Source organism: Homo sapiens, chromosome 2 (genome assembly GCF_000001405.40).
Source record: "Homo sapiens chromosome 2, GRCh38.p14 Primary Assembly".
Classification (NCBI taxonomy): Eukaryota; Metazoa; Chordata; class Mammalia; order Primates; family Hominidae; genus Homo; species Homo sapiens.
The window spans coordinates 127,748,310-127,765,987 of record NC_000002.12 but is presented as its reverse complement, the minus strand read 5'-3'; the positions used below and the strand labels follow the sequence as shown (position 1 = coordinate 127,765,987).

The window sequence follows — 17,678 nt, the reverse complement described above, 5'->3', positions numbered from 1 at the left end:
TGCAAAAAAAGTTATTGGCATAGTCATTCCCTGAAAATATATACATCTATGTGTATCCATTAGAATTAAAACTTTTGGTGTAGTGTTAATTAGTCATGGCACTATTATGGTTTTTTTTGAGAGTAGATCAGCGTAAGAGTTATCACTGCTTGGTACTTTGAATGGAGGAGAGCTTACTTTTTTTTTTTTTTTTAAATATGTTTAGCTGCAGGAAGAGTTTGAAAGCCTCAGTGTCCTTAAATCGGTACTTATTATTATCTTGTTTTTTTAATTAAACACTGGTAACTTTTCTTTCTGAATTTGTCCTCTCTTACTTGTAAGCACCATATCCTTTATTCAGTCTTTGAGTTGTTCTGGTGACTGATCACCTTATTTATGTTAGTCTATCGTATAGCCTAGGGAAATGAGGTCTTTGCATATTCTGTTTTGAAATGGTCTTTAGCATGCATACGTGTGTGTAATTTAGTGAGTAGGTGCGTATACTCATAATGTACTTACTGTCTTTAATTTAGCTAATAAACCAAAGGACTAGAGCTTTCCTTGCACAGTGTTAAGTTGTTTTCTGACAAAGTACTTCTGATAAAGCTGAGCTACATTTAAGTGAAAGTCAGTATCATTATTTAATGTCAGTTATTGCATGTTTTACAAATACCTTTAATATGTTTTTCAAAATTAGTGAAGTTGGAGGATGTATAACCTGTCTTTTTTTCTCCCTTAGTGGACTCCAGAAGGAAGACGCTTGGTCACTGGAGCTTCTAGTGGGGAGTTTACCCTGTGGAATGGACTCACTTTCAATTTTGAAACAATATTACAGGTAATGATAATCACCAGATGGTATCATCATCCTGTGGTACTGTAAAGAACTTGAGATATAGTCATTTCATTGGCATTGTTAAACTTAGAATTGGGACGAATTATTACCTCGAGTCAGTTATATGCTCTTGTAAGCCTTTAGTCATATATTCTTTGAAGCAGCACCTTACTAATTAATGTTTTCTGCTTTCACAGGCTCACGACAGCCCAGTGAGGGCCATGACGTGGTCACATAATGACATGTGGATGTTGACAGCAGACCACGGAGGATATGTGAAATATTGGCAGTCGAACATGAACAACGTCAAGATGTTCCAGGCACATAAGGAGGCGATTAGAGAGGCCAGGTTTATACACAATATACCATTTTCTGTAGTCCCTATTGTCATGGTTAAATTATTCTCTAAGTGTATTCTGGGTGCAGAGATGCATGGGCTCTGTCAGTTTCTGGGAAACTTTCTGCACCCTATAAACACAATATTTTTCTTTGTTTTCACACATTCACCATTTTGCTGGCACCTTTCTGAAGTAGTGTTGTCCCGGTATCAGCCTTTGCAATATGTTAGAGATGTACTGTCTGCCGCATTTTGCACTGGTTTTCTCTTTTCATTTATGATTAATAATGTGTATACGTTATTCCTTTTTATTATCTACTGTGTAAGACAAGAATATTTCATTCCAAATAAAGAATTCAGTCTTTAATTATGCAACTGAATAAAATCTAAAGCCTACAGAAAACAACTTCAGAATTCACACAAAGTGGAAAAAGGCTTAAGTGAAGACCTGGTTGGCTTGGTTATGCCACGACTTCCAAAGGAAAGTATAGGACTAAAACCCTCACAGATAACTGGATGTGGCAAACATTAACGGAGTAATGAATGGGTTCTTCAAGCTTTGCAGCTGTAAGCAGATCATTGTCAAGAAGACTCTAGGACTTTTCTTCTGATTCACTGTTGATAACATCACTTATGCAAATGTATACAATAAGTGGAGTTTAAAATATTTTCAGTGAGTTGTATATTTTTACACATCAGTGAGGTATGTATAGTAAAACTGGGGGAAAAAGTTCCAAATACAAGCCTGAAGAATTGCTGCAGCCTCAGAATAAAGCTAAGCAGCATTCTTTAAGGTTGTGCCACCCATGTGTGGGAGGAGGTTGACATCTTTATGGAAACATCATCCACTGTAGTCATTTGTTCATACTTTCAGAATCTTAACAGAAATTGTTGGATGAACATGCTTCTGCTTTGTAGATTTTGCCTTAGTGTCATGCCCATACATTGAGTTTACACAGCTGGTCCTTCATAGGATTCCAAAGTTCAAGGGAGTTTTTAGAGTTAGTTGAGAAACTTGATGATCTTTCACTGCTGGGAAAAACTGACTCCTTCTTGCAGCAGATTCTTTGGCTTTACACACAAGTCTGAATGTCCTTATTTTAAAGTTTTCCTCAAAGGTGCAACATTCATGGAATAGCTTGCCAGGAAGATGTGAAACTTTTCTACAGACCTTTGAAATGGATGAGAAACATTGTATGTAGGGATGTTTAGCAATCAGTCTTTTAATAGACAGCCCACATTGTTTCAGCTTATTTCATGAAGTGTCTGAGGCAGAAGCTGATGATAATTTTGGGAGCAGTATTCGTGTGTGATTTAAAAGACTGCAGGAATACTGCAAAAATAGAATCCATTTATTTTCACCACTTAAGGCAGCTTCATGTGATTTCCTCGTATCATAGAAAATAGAGAAGGAACATGGATAGCATTAGCACTAATAATACACACTTGAAGTTCTCAGAATACTGATGATTGAAAACTCAAACAACTGCTCTGTTGAAGTCTTCTTTTGATGAGATGCCTATGTTAGCTGACGACATTCACTTTAAGGGCTTCTTCACTGGATTCTTCCCTCTCCTGTTTATAATGCAGCACAGTGTTTTTATTTTTCCCTGTCTGAGAAGCACAGATTATCTGTTAAATGCTGACTTCTTTCCCCTGCTGTGTGTCTTCATGTAACAGTTTCTCACCCACGGATAATAAATTTGCTACATGCTCTGATGACGGCACTGTTAGAATCTGGGACTTTCTTCGTTGCCATGAGGAAAGAATTCTCCGAGGTACGTGTACTAACAGTACTGATTGGAATATTTAAATAGGGAAGACATTTGTGGTTAAATCATCACAAAACCACAATACTGGCTTACACCTCCATTCAATTTTTTTTACATATACACACCGTCTCAGGCTCTTCAAAAAAACCCAGCACTTTCTCTGACTCACAGTCATTTTGTAGGTTTTTACTACCAGTGTTATCTTTGAATTTTTCAGCTGTAAATTAAATACAAGAGTGCCTCCCCCTTACTTGCTTATCTGTATGCATCTTTTAGGGCTGTATTCCTTTTCCTTCCTTGTAGCCAGGGTACTTGTTCCCAACATATTGACACTGTGGTTTGATTTAGATAGCCGTCATTCTCCTGGCAGTCCTTTTACAATATGAATTAACCGACAAGATAGAGGTATCAAAGCTACACTTCTTAGTGTTACTATTTTTGAAAGCAGTTGGTTTTTCAGTACACCACATTTGTACTACATGGCCGGCTTGTTACTAAGTTCGGGTGGCATTGCTGCTTGTTTACTTTTGTTGATTTTATAATTAATAAACCTCTATGAAATTACTTCATTCCGTAACTGAAGTCCATATTCTCACTTCGATTATTTTAGATTATGCATTAGAATATTGGACTTTATAAAGTGGGACTGTTGAAATATTAACAGTACATCAATGTGAGTTACGTGAATTCAGTGGTGGTAGAGTTAAGGAATTTGTTGTATATATGCAATACAAACATCACAACAAAGACACTTCTAACTGGATCCTGTTAGTTTATTAAGTAGGAAGGTAGTTTTCTCCAGTGCTTAATTTGAACCTTTTGAATGTACTGTTTAACAAACAGTACCTTCTACTCCGTACCCTTGATTCCAGGATGCCACAAAAGTACCATCTTTCTCTGACACATAAATACAGGGTGGGAGGATGGGTGCTACGGGTGTTGGGTGTCAAATTATTATTCAGAGCTTTTCCCTTATGTTCAAGAGTCAGCAGAGATCGTTGTCTTGGTTGAATCGTTAAGTTTCTCACAGTTTTTCAGAGCTTTAGCTGTAGCATATAATGTTGATGTTTTGTAGACAGGAAAGACTCTTGAGATACTTTAATGTGTATTTCAGCCCATATTTCAAGCCAGTATCTTCCATCACATTTGCTTCAACACTCCTGACTTGGCACATTTTGTTTGGGTTTATCCACAGTACTGTATGACTGTAGCTTTTGTAAGAATAGGGAACCTGTCACATTGAGGGAGTTTACTCACTATAAAGGTCATAATATTGTATAACTTCAGAACGAGACAGAGACTTTGAGATGATCATGTCTGAGTTATTTTATGGATGAGCTCCATGATGCCAAGGGTGGAAGTGACATGTTCAAAGCAAAATAGGTTCAGAGCCAGGACTAGAATCTTATCATTTGACTCCCAGCCTAATGCCACACTTATGTTGAATCTTTCCTCACTATTAGTCTTGGCTGTTAAACAGAAATAAGTGAAACATTTTCTAAGTTTTTAAAATCCTGGAAACTTAGAGAAAATGAAATAATTTTATTTATTAAAAGTAATTCTAGAGTAGCTGGGCGCGGTGGCTCACGCCTGTAATCCCAGCACTTTGGGAGGCCGAGGTGGGCGGATCACGAGGTCAGGAGATCAAGACCATCCTGGCTAACACCATGAAACTCTGTCTCTACTGAAAATACAAAAAATTAGCTGGGTGTCGTGGTGGGCGCCTGTAGTCCCAGCTACTCGGGAGGCTGAGGCAGGAGACTGGTGTGAATCCAGGTGGCGGAGCTTGCAGTGAGCGGAGTTTGCACCACTGCACTTCAGCCTGGGCAACAGAGTGAGACTCTGTCTCAAAAAAAAAAGTAATTCTAGAGTATTAAAACAACTAATTTTACAGTGGACTGTATTAACTGAAGTCTGATCTAAAACCACTTTGCTGCTTGGATTTTAAAAAGAAGGAAATCTATGTGATAACGTTTTTGAGTCCCATGATCCAGTGAAGCATTATTCAATTTTGGTAATGAATGTGTTTCATTAAGAACTTTCCTTTGAAATTTAGAGTGTGCAGGGGATATTAACTAGCAGTTAAGTATTTTCAGATAAGTCCAGGTAAATTTAGATGAAGTTAAGTAGATGCTGAATCATAAATGAGAGTTGAGATTTTTGTATGAGGTCTCTTTATTTTAGGTTTTTACTATGGAAATTTCAAACATGTACAAAGGTATAATGAGCCTTCAGGTACTTTTAGGGTTTACATTCTAGCTTTTTAATATCTTTTGATTCTTTTTAAAAAAATTCTACTTACTTTACAGTAACAATATTTTTAGTACCCCAAGACACTTCAGTATATGAGACATGAATATATTGAATTAAGTTGATTATACCACCCAAGCAGTAATTCTGATAGCAGGTCTGCTGTAGGAGAAGAGTTATTAGATTCCAGTTGTCTGTTTTCTGTCATTTCTCACTTTTCCAAATTTTATGCATCTAAGAGCTTCCCATCCTCCCCTTAGTGAGTTGTGGGGTCAGAGGGTTGGTGGATTGGTAGTGGTTTCAAGGGATGATGAGAGTTCTTTAAATAAAATGTGAAGTGAACTTACTTAGCTCTACTCAGAGAAAACTGGATCACAAAGTCAAACAAATAGGGACAGGATAGTCTAACCTCTAAAATATCAGTTGCCCTTTATTAAGGATGATGTTCATGTAACACGCATAGACTCTATGGCATCAGGTAGATAAGCATACTCCTTTGCATTGTTAGTGTTGTGTATCAAGTCATTACTTTTGGAGTTAAGTATTCAGAAAATCCAAAATAATTCTATTTAAGGGGAGTTTGTGATCATACAGTCAAACTCTTATCAAATACTTTTCTACAACATTCCTAAAAACTAGCCTTCTACTCACAGACATTCTCAGTGATGTAATATTCCTTACTTCACATGAATTCCTTAAATAGCTCTAATTTTCAGGAAATTCTTTCTTTATATCAGAAACCTGCTTCCTTACAACTTGTCTTGCCTACGGGAATACCAAAAATTAAGTCTGCACTTAATTCACATGGCAGGCCGTTAAGTATGAAGAGACAGCTGTTGGGTCTTCTTGACTGAGTTTTTCAGCTTTAAGCATACAGTGTTCCTGTACATAACAGAAGTCATGATACTATACTTCTTAATTTTTAATTTTTTTTAAAAAAATAGAGTCAGGCTCTCCCTGTGTTGCCCAGGCTGGTCTCAAACTCCTGGGCTCAAGGGATCCTCCTGCCTCGGCCTCCCAAAGTGCTAGGATTATACTGTGAGCCACCACACTGGACTTGTACTTTTGAATGCAGAATTTATAGTTGCTTTTTATTTTTATTTTCTTACTATTTTAAAAATATTTTTGAGACCAAGTCTTCCTCTGTTGCCCAGGCTGGAGTGCAGTGGTGTGATCTTGGCTCACTGCAACCTCCGCCTCTCGGGTTCAAGTGAGTCTCCTGCCTCAGCCTCCTGAGTAACTGGGATTACAGGCATGTGTCACCATGCCCGGCTAATTTTTGTATTTTTAGTAGAGACAGAGTTTCACCATGTTGACCAGGCTGGTCTAGAGCTGCTGACCTCACGTGATCCATGCTCCTCGGCCTCCCAAAGTGCTGGTATTACAGGCGTGAGCCACCGTGCCTGGCCTGTAGTTGCTTTTTATTATAGTATTTCTGAGATTGTTCTTACGCTTAGAAAAGGTTGAAGTTACAGAAGAGAAAAATACTCAGTATTTTCTAAGGTGTAAAATGAGCATAGATCTGTTGACGGTGGATTTGTTATACAAAAGTCCTTGTTGGTACATAAGTTGAAAAAACAGACATTTATGAAATAGAATATACTGCAGCATTGAGAAGCACTATGTATATGTCCACCATTACAAAGGATGTGTAAGTCACCATAGTTCCATTTCTCCTTTTTTTCTAGTATTAATTATGGCAACTTATGGACTGGGATTAAAATAACATTTTTTAAAGTTTTTATTAAAAATTAAAAAGAAATTTCCCCTAGCTTCCCAAGCTTATGATAAAATAACATTGTACACACGAGAAATATGCGAGACTAAATGAGCCTATAGGTTATGTTTACACATTTGACTCCAACTGAAATAGTACCATTAAAATCTATTTAATAAACAACGAGTATCCTATATGCAAGTTACCTAGGAGACTGTTTTATAAGGTATAACCCCTATCCTCATGTTTAATAGGAAGGTGAGATATTTTCACAATCGTTAAAGACGTTTGATAATAAGGGGGGAGAGCTGTGTGAGTGCTAGAAGTGTAGTTTTATGGGCATATGGAAGCAGATCACTTAACTACTGGCAGGTTGAAAATACGGAATCAGTAAGGATATGGAAATAAATTTTACTGAGAGACATCATATTTTATTTTTAATTTTCTCCCACAGCCTCACCCCTCCCCATTATACTCATAAAGAGAATCAGTTAACAAGTTTCAGCGTGCTTTAATTTTGTTTTACCTTCTTGATTTTAACAATAATAACAGCTGACACATTATACTTACTGTAATTGTAAGGCATATTGTAAGTACTTTATTTAATCTTCCCAGTAGCCCTACCAGAGCAGTACTGATTGTTTCCCATTTTACAAATGAGTAAACCAAGGCACCAAAAAGTTAAATAAACCTGTCAGAGGTCATATAATTTATAAGAGTTGAGGCTAGGATTTGAAGCCTGTTTGGCTCCAATATTCATGCTGTTAACTACTATGTTAAACTGCCTCTTTTATGTTTTAAAAGGAATGTCAGCAACAGTACCTTCCTAAGCTGTAATTGACAGAATTGTGAAGTAAAGATTGGTATGGGGGAGAAGGGTGTGGGTAGAGGAAACTAGGTATTCAGGTTCATTTTAACATTCTTTAAAACTGTAGAGGTTATAGTGAATGTATAATATATTTAGCAAAAATATTAAAACACAGCTATTGGTTCACACTACACATGGGTTATAAGGTGTATTAAATAGAACATGGACATAAGCAGTTATATTGAGACTTACGCAGGAGTTTTTAGTTTTCAAATATAATACTAATGGAATGGAAATGAACACTTACGTACTCACCACACAGATTAAGAAAAGTAATATGATTACTAATACTTTTGTTAAGTCTCTGTGTGCCCCTTCATGATTGCATTGGTGGTTTATACTACATGAGATGACTGCTGTCTACACAAAGATCTTTTCGTTTGGCAGTGTGTTTTTGAACTGTGTGAAGACACATTTACAAAGTTTGAATGTTCCAAAAAATGGGTGCTTTTTATTGGAAATAACTTTATTATTAAAGTAAAATTGGTAAACCATGTAGTTTATGATAATAAACCTAATTTATTTCTATAAGGTTTTACAAAACACTCCCCAGAATTCTGTTTTCCCCCAAGACAAAAAACCCAGCTTCCTTTAAAGTAGCCCATAGCAGAATAATTCCTTACGTTGACTTAGCATGCTTTTAGTATTAAAAGCACTTCAAGCATATATCCAAACAACCACCTGGACCCATTTTACTACAGCTAGCTGCCTGTATTCTGTATCCAGTTTCTTACTTTGAGGAAGCGTTTCTTTAAGGCTCTGTGCTATCCTGAAAAGACTAGATCATGGTAGGTTGTCTTATTATGTAAATAATTATATCATAAGAGAGAAAAAGACTTGATATTTAACATCTAAAGCACATTATTTAAACAAGTTTGTGTAGTAGGGTTCTGAAATATTCATTTTATGTGATGTGTTCATATTTTTACAGGAATTGTTTAAAATTTTTATGATGGGCTTTGTTCTTTTAATCGCTATGCTTATTTAAAATATTGTACATAATATGACCAAAACTTATTGAATATAAATCTGTACCTTTCTTGGGGTGCAGAGTTGCATGCTGCTGCTAGTATATTTAGTGTCTTAATTAAGAGTCAAGAGCCACTCCCAGGCACTCTTTTGTATGTGAAGATTCGACTTTTTTTTTTTTTTTTTGGAGACAGGTTCTTGGTCTGTCACCCAGGCTGGAGTGCAGTGGCGCAATACTGGCCCACTGCAACCTCCACCTTGCAGGTTCAAGCAATTCTCCCACCTCAGCCTCCCTGGTAGCTGGGACTACAGGCATGCACCACCACACCTGGCTAATTTTTTAATTTTTTGGTAGAGATGGGCTTTCACCATGTTGGACAGGCTGGTCTCTTGATCTCAGGTGATCTGCCCAACTTGGCCTCCCAAAGTGCTGGGATTACAGGCATAAGCCACCATGCCTGGCCGAAGATTCAGATTTCTTAGCAGTGACAAATCCCTATGATTATTAATTTAGGCAGTCAGTTTTCAGAAAGAGCCTTTCTATCTTTACATTTATTAAAGATATAAATTTTATTCTGTAGTTGTCTGTTCTATAATTGTATGCTTCAGTTCGTTTTGAGTGAGGTTTAAATTTTTGTTCTGATGAATTAGTTACCCTGTTCTTTTATAAATCTCAGCTTATCAGGTCTTTGATAGTTTTTAAAGTTAAAATTCTGAGCTTTGGAAAGGCTGATACAGTTAGATAAATGTATAATATGTCTTGGCTTTTTCATTTTCGGTGAGTAGATTCTTTAATAAAGTATATGATTAAAATGTGGTATAATATAGTAAGTTTTGTCAACGAGGGGAGTATCAGAACAAATACTGGGTTTGGTTTTTTTTTTTCATAGTAATTTTTTTCCCCTTTAATTACCTTTTTTTTTTTTTTTGGAGTTGGAATCTTGCTCTGTTGCCCAGGCTGGAGTGCAGTGGCATGATCTCAGCTCATTGCAACCTCTGCCTCCCGGGTTCAAGCAATTCTCGTGTCTCAGCCTCCTGAGTAGCTGGGACTACAGGCATGCACCACAAGACCCAGCTAATTTTTGTATTTTTAGTGGAGACAGCGTTTCACCATGTCAGCCAGGCTGGTCTCGAACTCCTGACCTCAAGTGATCCGCTCGTCTCAGCCTCCCAAAGTGTAGTCATTACGGGTGTGAGCCACTGTGCCTGGCCACTTTTTTATGGTATACCAGAAAACTGTAGCTCAGCAATTTCTGAGAAGCACCTATGATCTCTTTAGTTGTAAAGAGACCAGAGTGAGGATTTCTGTTTGTTTTGTCACGAATGGAAATTGTAAGTATTCTACCATATTGAAACATTAGAAAATACTGAAGGAAGTCAGCATGAATATAGAAACAAGGAGTAAAAGGGTGGGTTTTAGGAACTCCTTGTCAGGAAGCTCAATATTTTGTCTCCAACAGACATTTTTAATGTTATTAAACAAAAGTAGTTTGTGATGCCATGAGTCATCAAAGATTAGATTAGTAGTTCTTAATCCCATCAGGCCAGATAACTGCTTTTTTGAATAAATAATTTGTAGTCTGTACACTTCTGAAGTGAACTTCATTGATGACTGCCACACACAAATTTCTAAAAAAGGCACCACCACAGGTACGCACACATGCATGCACGCGCAGGCTTGGAGAAAGCCTTACTGCTTCCATTGAGAAATAGTGGTCTGGAATAAATCATGCTAAAATAATCCTATTTTTTTAATAGGATTGCTGGAGTGGTCAAGGACATTGTAGCCAGAACAATACAGGCAACCTTTTGAGCTAATTTGTGGATCATGGTAGAGGAACATGGCTTTTTAGCTGCATGAGTGAAAGGTCATTCCCAAAGTAAGTTTTCCCTGGATGTTTGTTACCTGTGAGACAAGTATGCAGAGAGTGCTGTAAGATTCTTTACTTGGCCCCGTCCTATTTAACAGTTTATATTAATGTAGATGGTCTTGCTTTGTAATTTATAGCTGATTCAAAACGACAAGTAGAAGTTCACTAGATTTCAGGATTTGAGAAGATATTTTGATGTTAAACTTAACAGAAACTTAAACTGTAAAAGTTAAATAAAGATAAATAGGAAGTTCTGTACTTTGCTTACCAACCTCAATTCCAGGGTTTGTTAGATTGGTTAATTAGAGTTCATAAAAACAATCCTGTGTTTTAGATGATTGGTGTGAACTCTTGAGGTGTCATGTTCTTCCCCACTTAATAGAATACTTAATAGATGTTCAGAGTGGTGGAGCTTCATTTTTGAGGGGAGTTTACTAGAAGGGAGAATGGTCTGGAAATCATGAAGAACAGTAAAGGGAAGATTAGTATTTAGCTGGGTTAAAAGAGACTTGCGATTATAGTTATTTTCAGATATTTAAAGAATATTTTTTGGAAGTAGGATTTGATTTATTTTATATAGGCCTAGAATATAGGGGATGAGAAGGATATAGGACATCATATTTGGATTTCATTATGGAAATTTTTTTCCTGTGGAAAGATAAGAGAATGTGGCCAGGCACAATAGCTCACACCTGTAATCCCAGCTCTTTGGGAGGCTAAGGTGGGAAGGTTGCTTAAAGCCAGGAGTTTGAGACCAGCCTGGGCAACAAAGTGAGACCCTGTTTCTACAAAAAAAAAAAAAAAAAAAATGAAAAACATGGTGGCATGCACATGTAGTCCCAGCTACTCAGAAGGCTGAGGCAGGAGGATTGCTCGAGTCTAGGAATCCAAGGCTGCAGTGAGCCGAGATCGCGCCACTGCACTCCTTCCTGAATGACAGAGGGAGACCCTGTGTTTTTCCCCCATAAAAGAAAAGAGAACGGACTGTTGTGTGAGCTATTGGGCTTCCCTTTCATGAAATTTTGCCACATTTAGCTTGCCACCTACCTGTCAGGGAAGTTATAGAAAGCATTTCCTTTTCAGACGGATGGTCGGATTTGATAATATTAACGTTAGTTTTATGTTTCAGGGCAGACCTAAAGTCTGAAAGTCAAGCATTGCAAAGAGTTAAGTGACTAGGTTGTATCCCATAAGGAGATGTTGCCAACCTCTGTTGAGACATTGGATAATGTTATTAACACTATTGTTTGAAGTAGTGAATGGAGTCTCAAAATTCACCTAATCTTCCAAACATTTTTTGAAGTATTTATACTTTTTAATTGTATATATACAGTAAATGCACAAGTCTTAAATGTACAGTATAATGGATTTTTTGTATTTATACACTTGCCTAACTACCTCTAGATAAGAAATGGAATAATTTTAGGAGTCAAAGATTTCTTCATGCCCCTTTCCCACCTTAGCTTTTTACTAGGTAGGTTAGGCTTTGAAAGATACTTTCATTAAGTTATTTTTCTTTTTCTTTACTGTTCTTTACATTTTGTGATTTTTGTGGTTTTTATCTCACCTTCCTCTGTGTAGAGTTGTCTTAATTACCTTTCGTTGATTTGAGTCTATATTCTTTTTTAAAAAATAGATGCAGTCCTGAATCTAGATGCCTCCATATTCTTTTAAAAATGCTGTTTTATTACTTTTTCTGATCAGTTTCTTCTGCTAGTCTCCTGCTACTAAAACCAATTCTTTGGAAGTATATAAAGAGACACTATTGCATATGATTACAATCACAAACTCTAGAAGCTGAATGTTAGTCACAGTTTCAGCTCTTAGCAGCCATGTGACACTGGGGCAAGTTACAATATTTTGTGTCCTCATCTGTGAAGTGAGGTGTTGAACTCATTGATATGTCATTTCCAAAGTGAATTTCAGAGCCTGCTTCCAAATCTCTGGACTATTTTAGGATAAAAGTGGTTATTTCAGAACTTTTCTCATTTGAATATTTTTCAGCCACTGTTATGACAGTAGTATATATAGGCTTTTATATTTATAAGCAATCTATAAATATGACTACTTGTTTAAACAAAGCTGTCATGATTTTTTAGTGTTTTTAGATGTAAAAAATTCAACAGATATGAACTTAGAATTGGTCTTTTTGAAGTCCTTTAAAAGGGCTATGCGTGGTGGCTCATGCCTGTAATCCCAGCACTTTGGGAGGCCAAGGCAGGTGGATCACTTGAGGTCAGGCATTTGAGACCAGCCTGGCCAACATGGTGAAACCCCGTCTCTACTAAAAATACAAAAATTAGCTGGGCGTGGTGGCACATGCCTGTAATCCCAGCTTCTCGGGAGGCTGAGGCAAGAGAATTGCTTGAACCCAGGAGGCAGAGGAGGTTGCAATGAACCGACAGTGTGCCATTGCATTCCAGCCTGGGCAACAAGAGCAAAACTCCATCTCATAAATAAATAAATAAATAAATAAAGTCTTATAAGTGGATTTAAATAGTTTATCTTAGTTGTTAGATGCATCAGATAATTAATGATGACACGCTGTGGCCAATGTGCTATCATTGGTTCTTTTGCTGATAAAAATTTAGAAGACATGACCTCTTCCCTTTAGCACCATGTCCAACATTTTCCTAGTTATCTTATTTCTTCAGAAATGTTTTGTGGATTGATGAAATACCATATCAACCAGGAATGCTGTTTTACATTGACAGTGAGTAGTCTTCACAGCTCATAGCAGCAGGCTGCTGTCATTGGTGCCTAGACTGTTTCTTTTTTTTTTTTTTTTTTTTTTTTGAGACGGAGTCTCGCTCTGTCGCCCAGGCCGGACTGCGGACTGCAGTGGCGCAATCTCGGCTCACTGCAAGCTCCGCTTCCCGGGTTCACGCCATTCTCCTGCCTCAGCCTCCCGAGTAGCTGGGACTACAGGCGCCCGCCACCGCGCCCGGCTAATTTTTTGTATTTTTAGTAGAGACGGGGTTTCACCTTGTTAGCCAGGATGGTCTCGATCTCCTGACCTCATGATCCACCCGCCTCGGCCTCCCAAAGTGCTGGGATTACAGGCGTGAGCCACCGCGCCCGGCCGGTGCCTAGACTGTTTCATCAGGACAGCATTTAGTTTTTTGGGGGGTAAGAACAGGTTTTATCCTGCTGACCAACCTTAAGCACAAGAATTAATCCCTAACTCCATTTAGTGATAAGGAAGTTGGATGAACAAGTGATAGCTCTGGTAAAATGTTATTTCTTTTTGCCATCTTGGATGAGTAATGTGTCAGCAGTAAGGTAGGAATCTTGGGGCAAATGTACTATACATATATTTTTGTTGCAGTAGACAAGATTCAAATATAGAAATCTAATGTCTTGTTTGGACTCTCCTTGTTACCCTCTGCGTCCACCCCGTGAAACTTGTCAGTTTGACCAAACGGACTAGCTGACTTTGGGGACTTGACTTTGGGGACTTACTGCGTCCTCAGAGTCTTCCGTGTAGTTTGTTGGAGGGTAGGAGCCGAAACCTTACCTGTGACATAGCAGATGTGGGTCTGATTGAGTGACTCTAAGATCAGAGAGGTGGCATCTGGAATAAAAAGAGCATTTTAAGTTTAGTGATTTCTGAACTAAAATCCTGCTCCTTTCTTGAGGTCGTATAGTACAGCACTCAGTTTTAATGTTCTTTCTGTAGAACCTGAATATTAAATACTTCAAAACTTTGGTGGTGGTAATATTAAAAAAATTTTTTTGCAATAGTTAAATCAGATCATTTCATTTCCTGAAATCTATGCAAATTATTCCATTTGTATCTTTTTTAAGTGTATTCTGATTTTAAAATTTATTATTATTTTTCAGAGACAGGATTTCGCTCTGTTGCCCAGGTTGGAGTACACTGGCATGATCATAGCTCACCATAACCTCAAACTCCTGGCCCTAAGCCATCCTCCTGCCCAACCTGTTTTTTTTTTTTTTTAAATAGAGCATCTTCACTCTAAATATCAATATTATTATTATTATTATTATTATTATTATTATTATTATTTTGAGATAAGGTCTTGCTCTGTCACTCAGGCTGGAGTGCAGTGGCATGATCTTGGCTTACCGCAGCCTCCACCTGCCAGGCTCAAGTGATCCTCCCACGTCAGCCTCCTGAGAAGCTGGGGCTACAGGTGCATGCCACCATGTGTGGCTAACTTTTGTATTTTTAGTAGAGATAGGGTTTCACCATGTTGCCTAGGCTGGTCTTGAACTCCTGGGCTCAAGTGATCCTCCCGCCTCTGCCTTCCAAAGTACTGAGATTATAGGCATGAGCCACCGTGCCTTGCCATCAATCTGATTTTTTAGAACATTTTTAGTTTTACAGTTTTTAGGTTTTAATGTGCCATGCAAATGTAAGTTCCCAAGGGTCTTCTGGGTGGAAATGTTTATTAAAACAAAAATTTATCAAGAGTATTCACTAGACATTTTGTGTAGTTTTTTAAATTCTAGCAGGTGAATCATTAAATCAATTACTGTAAAATACCTTCAGTTTTTGAATTAGCTGTTTTATTTATTTTTACATTTTAACCTCTGAAAGAAATAAAATTAGCTGTTTTAAAGATAGTTTTTTCCATATGTGTGTATATATATGTGTATATATATGTATGTATACATATATATGTATGCATACATATATATGTATGCATACATACATATATATATATATATATATATATATATATATATATTTTTTTTTTTTTTTTTTTTTTTTTTTTAAGATGGAGTTTCACTCTTGTTGCCCAGGCTGGAGTGCAATGATTACAATCTCGACTCACTGCAACTTCCGCCTCTCGGGTTCAAACAATTCTCAAGTGCCTCAGCCTCTCGGGTAGCTGGGATTATAGGCACGTGCCACCATGCCTGGCTAATTTTTGTATTTTAAGTAGCGATGGGGTTTCACCATGTTGCCCAGGCTGGTCTCGAGCTCCTAACCTCAAGTGATTCATCTGCCTCAGTCTCCCAAAGTGCTGGGATTACTGGTGTGAGCTACTGTGCCTGGCCTTCCCTTATATTTTTGACTCAAAAAAAGTCTGTTCTCAGCTGGGTGCGGTGGCTCATGCCAGTAATCCCAGCACTTTGGGAGGCCAAGGCAGGCAGATCACTTGAGCCCAGGAGTTTGAGACCAGCCTTGGCAACATGGCAAAACCCCATTTGTACAAAACAAATACAAAAAGTTAACTGGGTGTGGTGGCGTGTGCCTGTGGTCCCTGATACCAGGGAGGCTGAGGTAGGAGGATCTCTTGAACCTGGGAAATCTGAGGCTGCAGTGAGCCAAGATTTCGCCACTGCACTCAAGCCTGGGTGGCAGAATGAGACCCTGTCCCTCCCTCCCCACAAATGCCTGTTCTCCTACAATGAGAAATAAGCTGATAACATTTTTGACTTAAGAAGAAGCAGATATTAGAAATTACAGCCTGTGAGAGAATGGTGTGAACCCGAGAGGTGGAGCTTGCAGTGAGCTGAGATTGGGCCACTGTACTCCAGCCTGGGTGGCAGAGTGAGACTCCGTCTCAAAAAAAAAAAAAAGCCTGTGAAATGAAAGGTATTTGAAAGACTCAGTATGATGGAGAGTTTCAGTTCTTGCTGACGAGAAACACTGAGGACTGTGATAATTGTAAAGGTTAAGGTTTGGCACAGTTGCTGAGGGCTTGTCTTGAAAGAGGAAGTAGTCAACACTATGGCATTTCTTTTTTTTTTTTTTTTTGAGGTGGAGTCCTACTCTGTTGCCCAGGCTGGAGTGTAGTGGCACAATCTCAGCTCACTGCAATCTCCGCCTCCCTGGCTCAAGTGATTCTCCTGCCTCAGCCTCCCGAATAGCTGGGAATACAGGTGTCTGCCACCATGCCCAGCTAATTTTTGTATTTTTAGTAGAGACGGGGTTTCACCATGTTGGCCAGGCTGGTCTCAAACCCCTGACCTCGGGTGATCCACCTGCCTCAGCCTCCCAAAGTGCTGGGATTACAGACACGAGCCACCACACCTGCCCTTATGGTGTTTCTTCATCATCATTTTATTTATTTTGTTTTGTTTTATTGAGACCGTTTCACTCAGTCACCCAGGTTGGAGTGCAGTGGCACGATCACAACTCACTGGAGCCTCAACTGCCTGGGCTTATGCGATCCACCTGAGCTTTCTGAGTAGCTGGGACTGCAGTTGCATGCCACTATGCCTGTCTAACTTTATTTTATTTTTAATAGATACAAGATGTCACTATGTTGCTTAAGCTGATCTCAAACTCCTAGGCTAAGAGATTTTCCCATCTTGGCCTCCCAAAGTACTGGATTACAGGCGTGAGCCACCAAGCCCGGCCACATTTTTGGTTTTGTACTTGTAGATATGATTAATACTTATAGAAATTTTAAAAATCTTTCATCAAAAGAGTGCATATGAAAATCTTGCTTTATTTTCTTCTCACAGCTAACATACTATCCAGATAATTCCAGTAGTTAAGGTGAGCACTTTTTTTTTTTTTTTTTTTTTTAAGTTTCAGCTACCTAGGAGGCCCTGTTAGGAGGATCACTTGAGCCCAGGAGATCGAGACAGTAATGAGCCATGCACCACTGCACCCAGGCCTGGGTGACAGAATGAGACCCTGTCTCAGGAAAAAAGATATTACTCACTTTCATGTTTTCCTTATAGCTTCAGCTTTATTGTTGATGAGCATTTTCCTGCATCCCTTGTTTAAAGTACCTCTAAATCTAGACATAACCCAGATACTTGGATGTGCTGCCGCCAATTGAAATGATCCTTGATTAACTCCTGCTTATTCTCTTGATCAATTTGGCTGTAAAAGCTTCTCCTCTGCTTTAACAGTTTTTAATGCTTTTTACTTTACCTGAGCCATTTAAAACATTTTACCATGGTCTTGACATTAAAAGCAAAACTGAAGAAATCTTACACCAGCATCATCCAAAGCTGCCCTCCCTGTGAATTATAGTTTTAGAGTCATTTTCTAAGCCTAGAACATTTAGTCTATTTTCATTTCACTGTTAGTATTTACAAGTGTGAATACCCTTCAGTTAAAGACCACTAGGAGTACACCTGTCATAGAGCAGG

At 38.2% G+C, this 17,678-nt stretch overlaps 1 protein-coding gene across 6 annotated transcripts in view; it reads left to right on the top strand.

The window, feature by feature from the left end:
* WDR33 (WD repeat domain 33) overlaps nucleotides 1–17,678 on the top strand; it is a 110,145-nt gene that overhangs the window by 45,184 nt on the left and 47,283 nt on the right. For 4 of the 6 annotated variants that reach the window (XM_005263697.4, NM_018383.5, XM_011511436.2 and 1 more), the window contains exons 5-7: nucleotides 719–814; nucleotides 1,009–1,160; nucleotides 2,829–2,926. In XM_005263697.4, coding sequence (XP_005263754.1) covers nucleotides 719–814; nucleotides 1,009–1,160; nucleotides 2,829–2,926 — 346 coding nt within the window. Of the gene's footprint in view, nucleotides 1–718; nucleotides 815–1,008; nucleotides 3,485–10,482; nucleotides 10,850–17,678 lie in introns of those variants that run through there. The other 2 variants (XM_017004436.3, NM_001006622.3) reach the window with 2 other exon arrangements.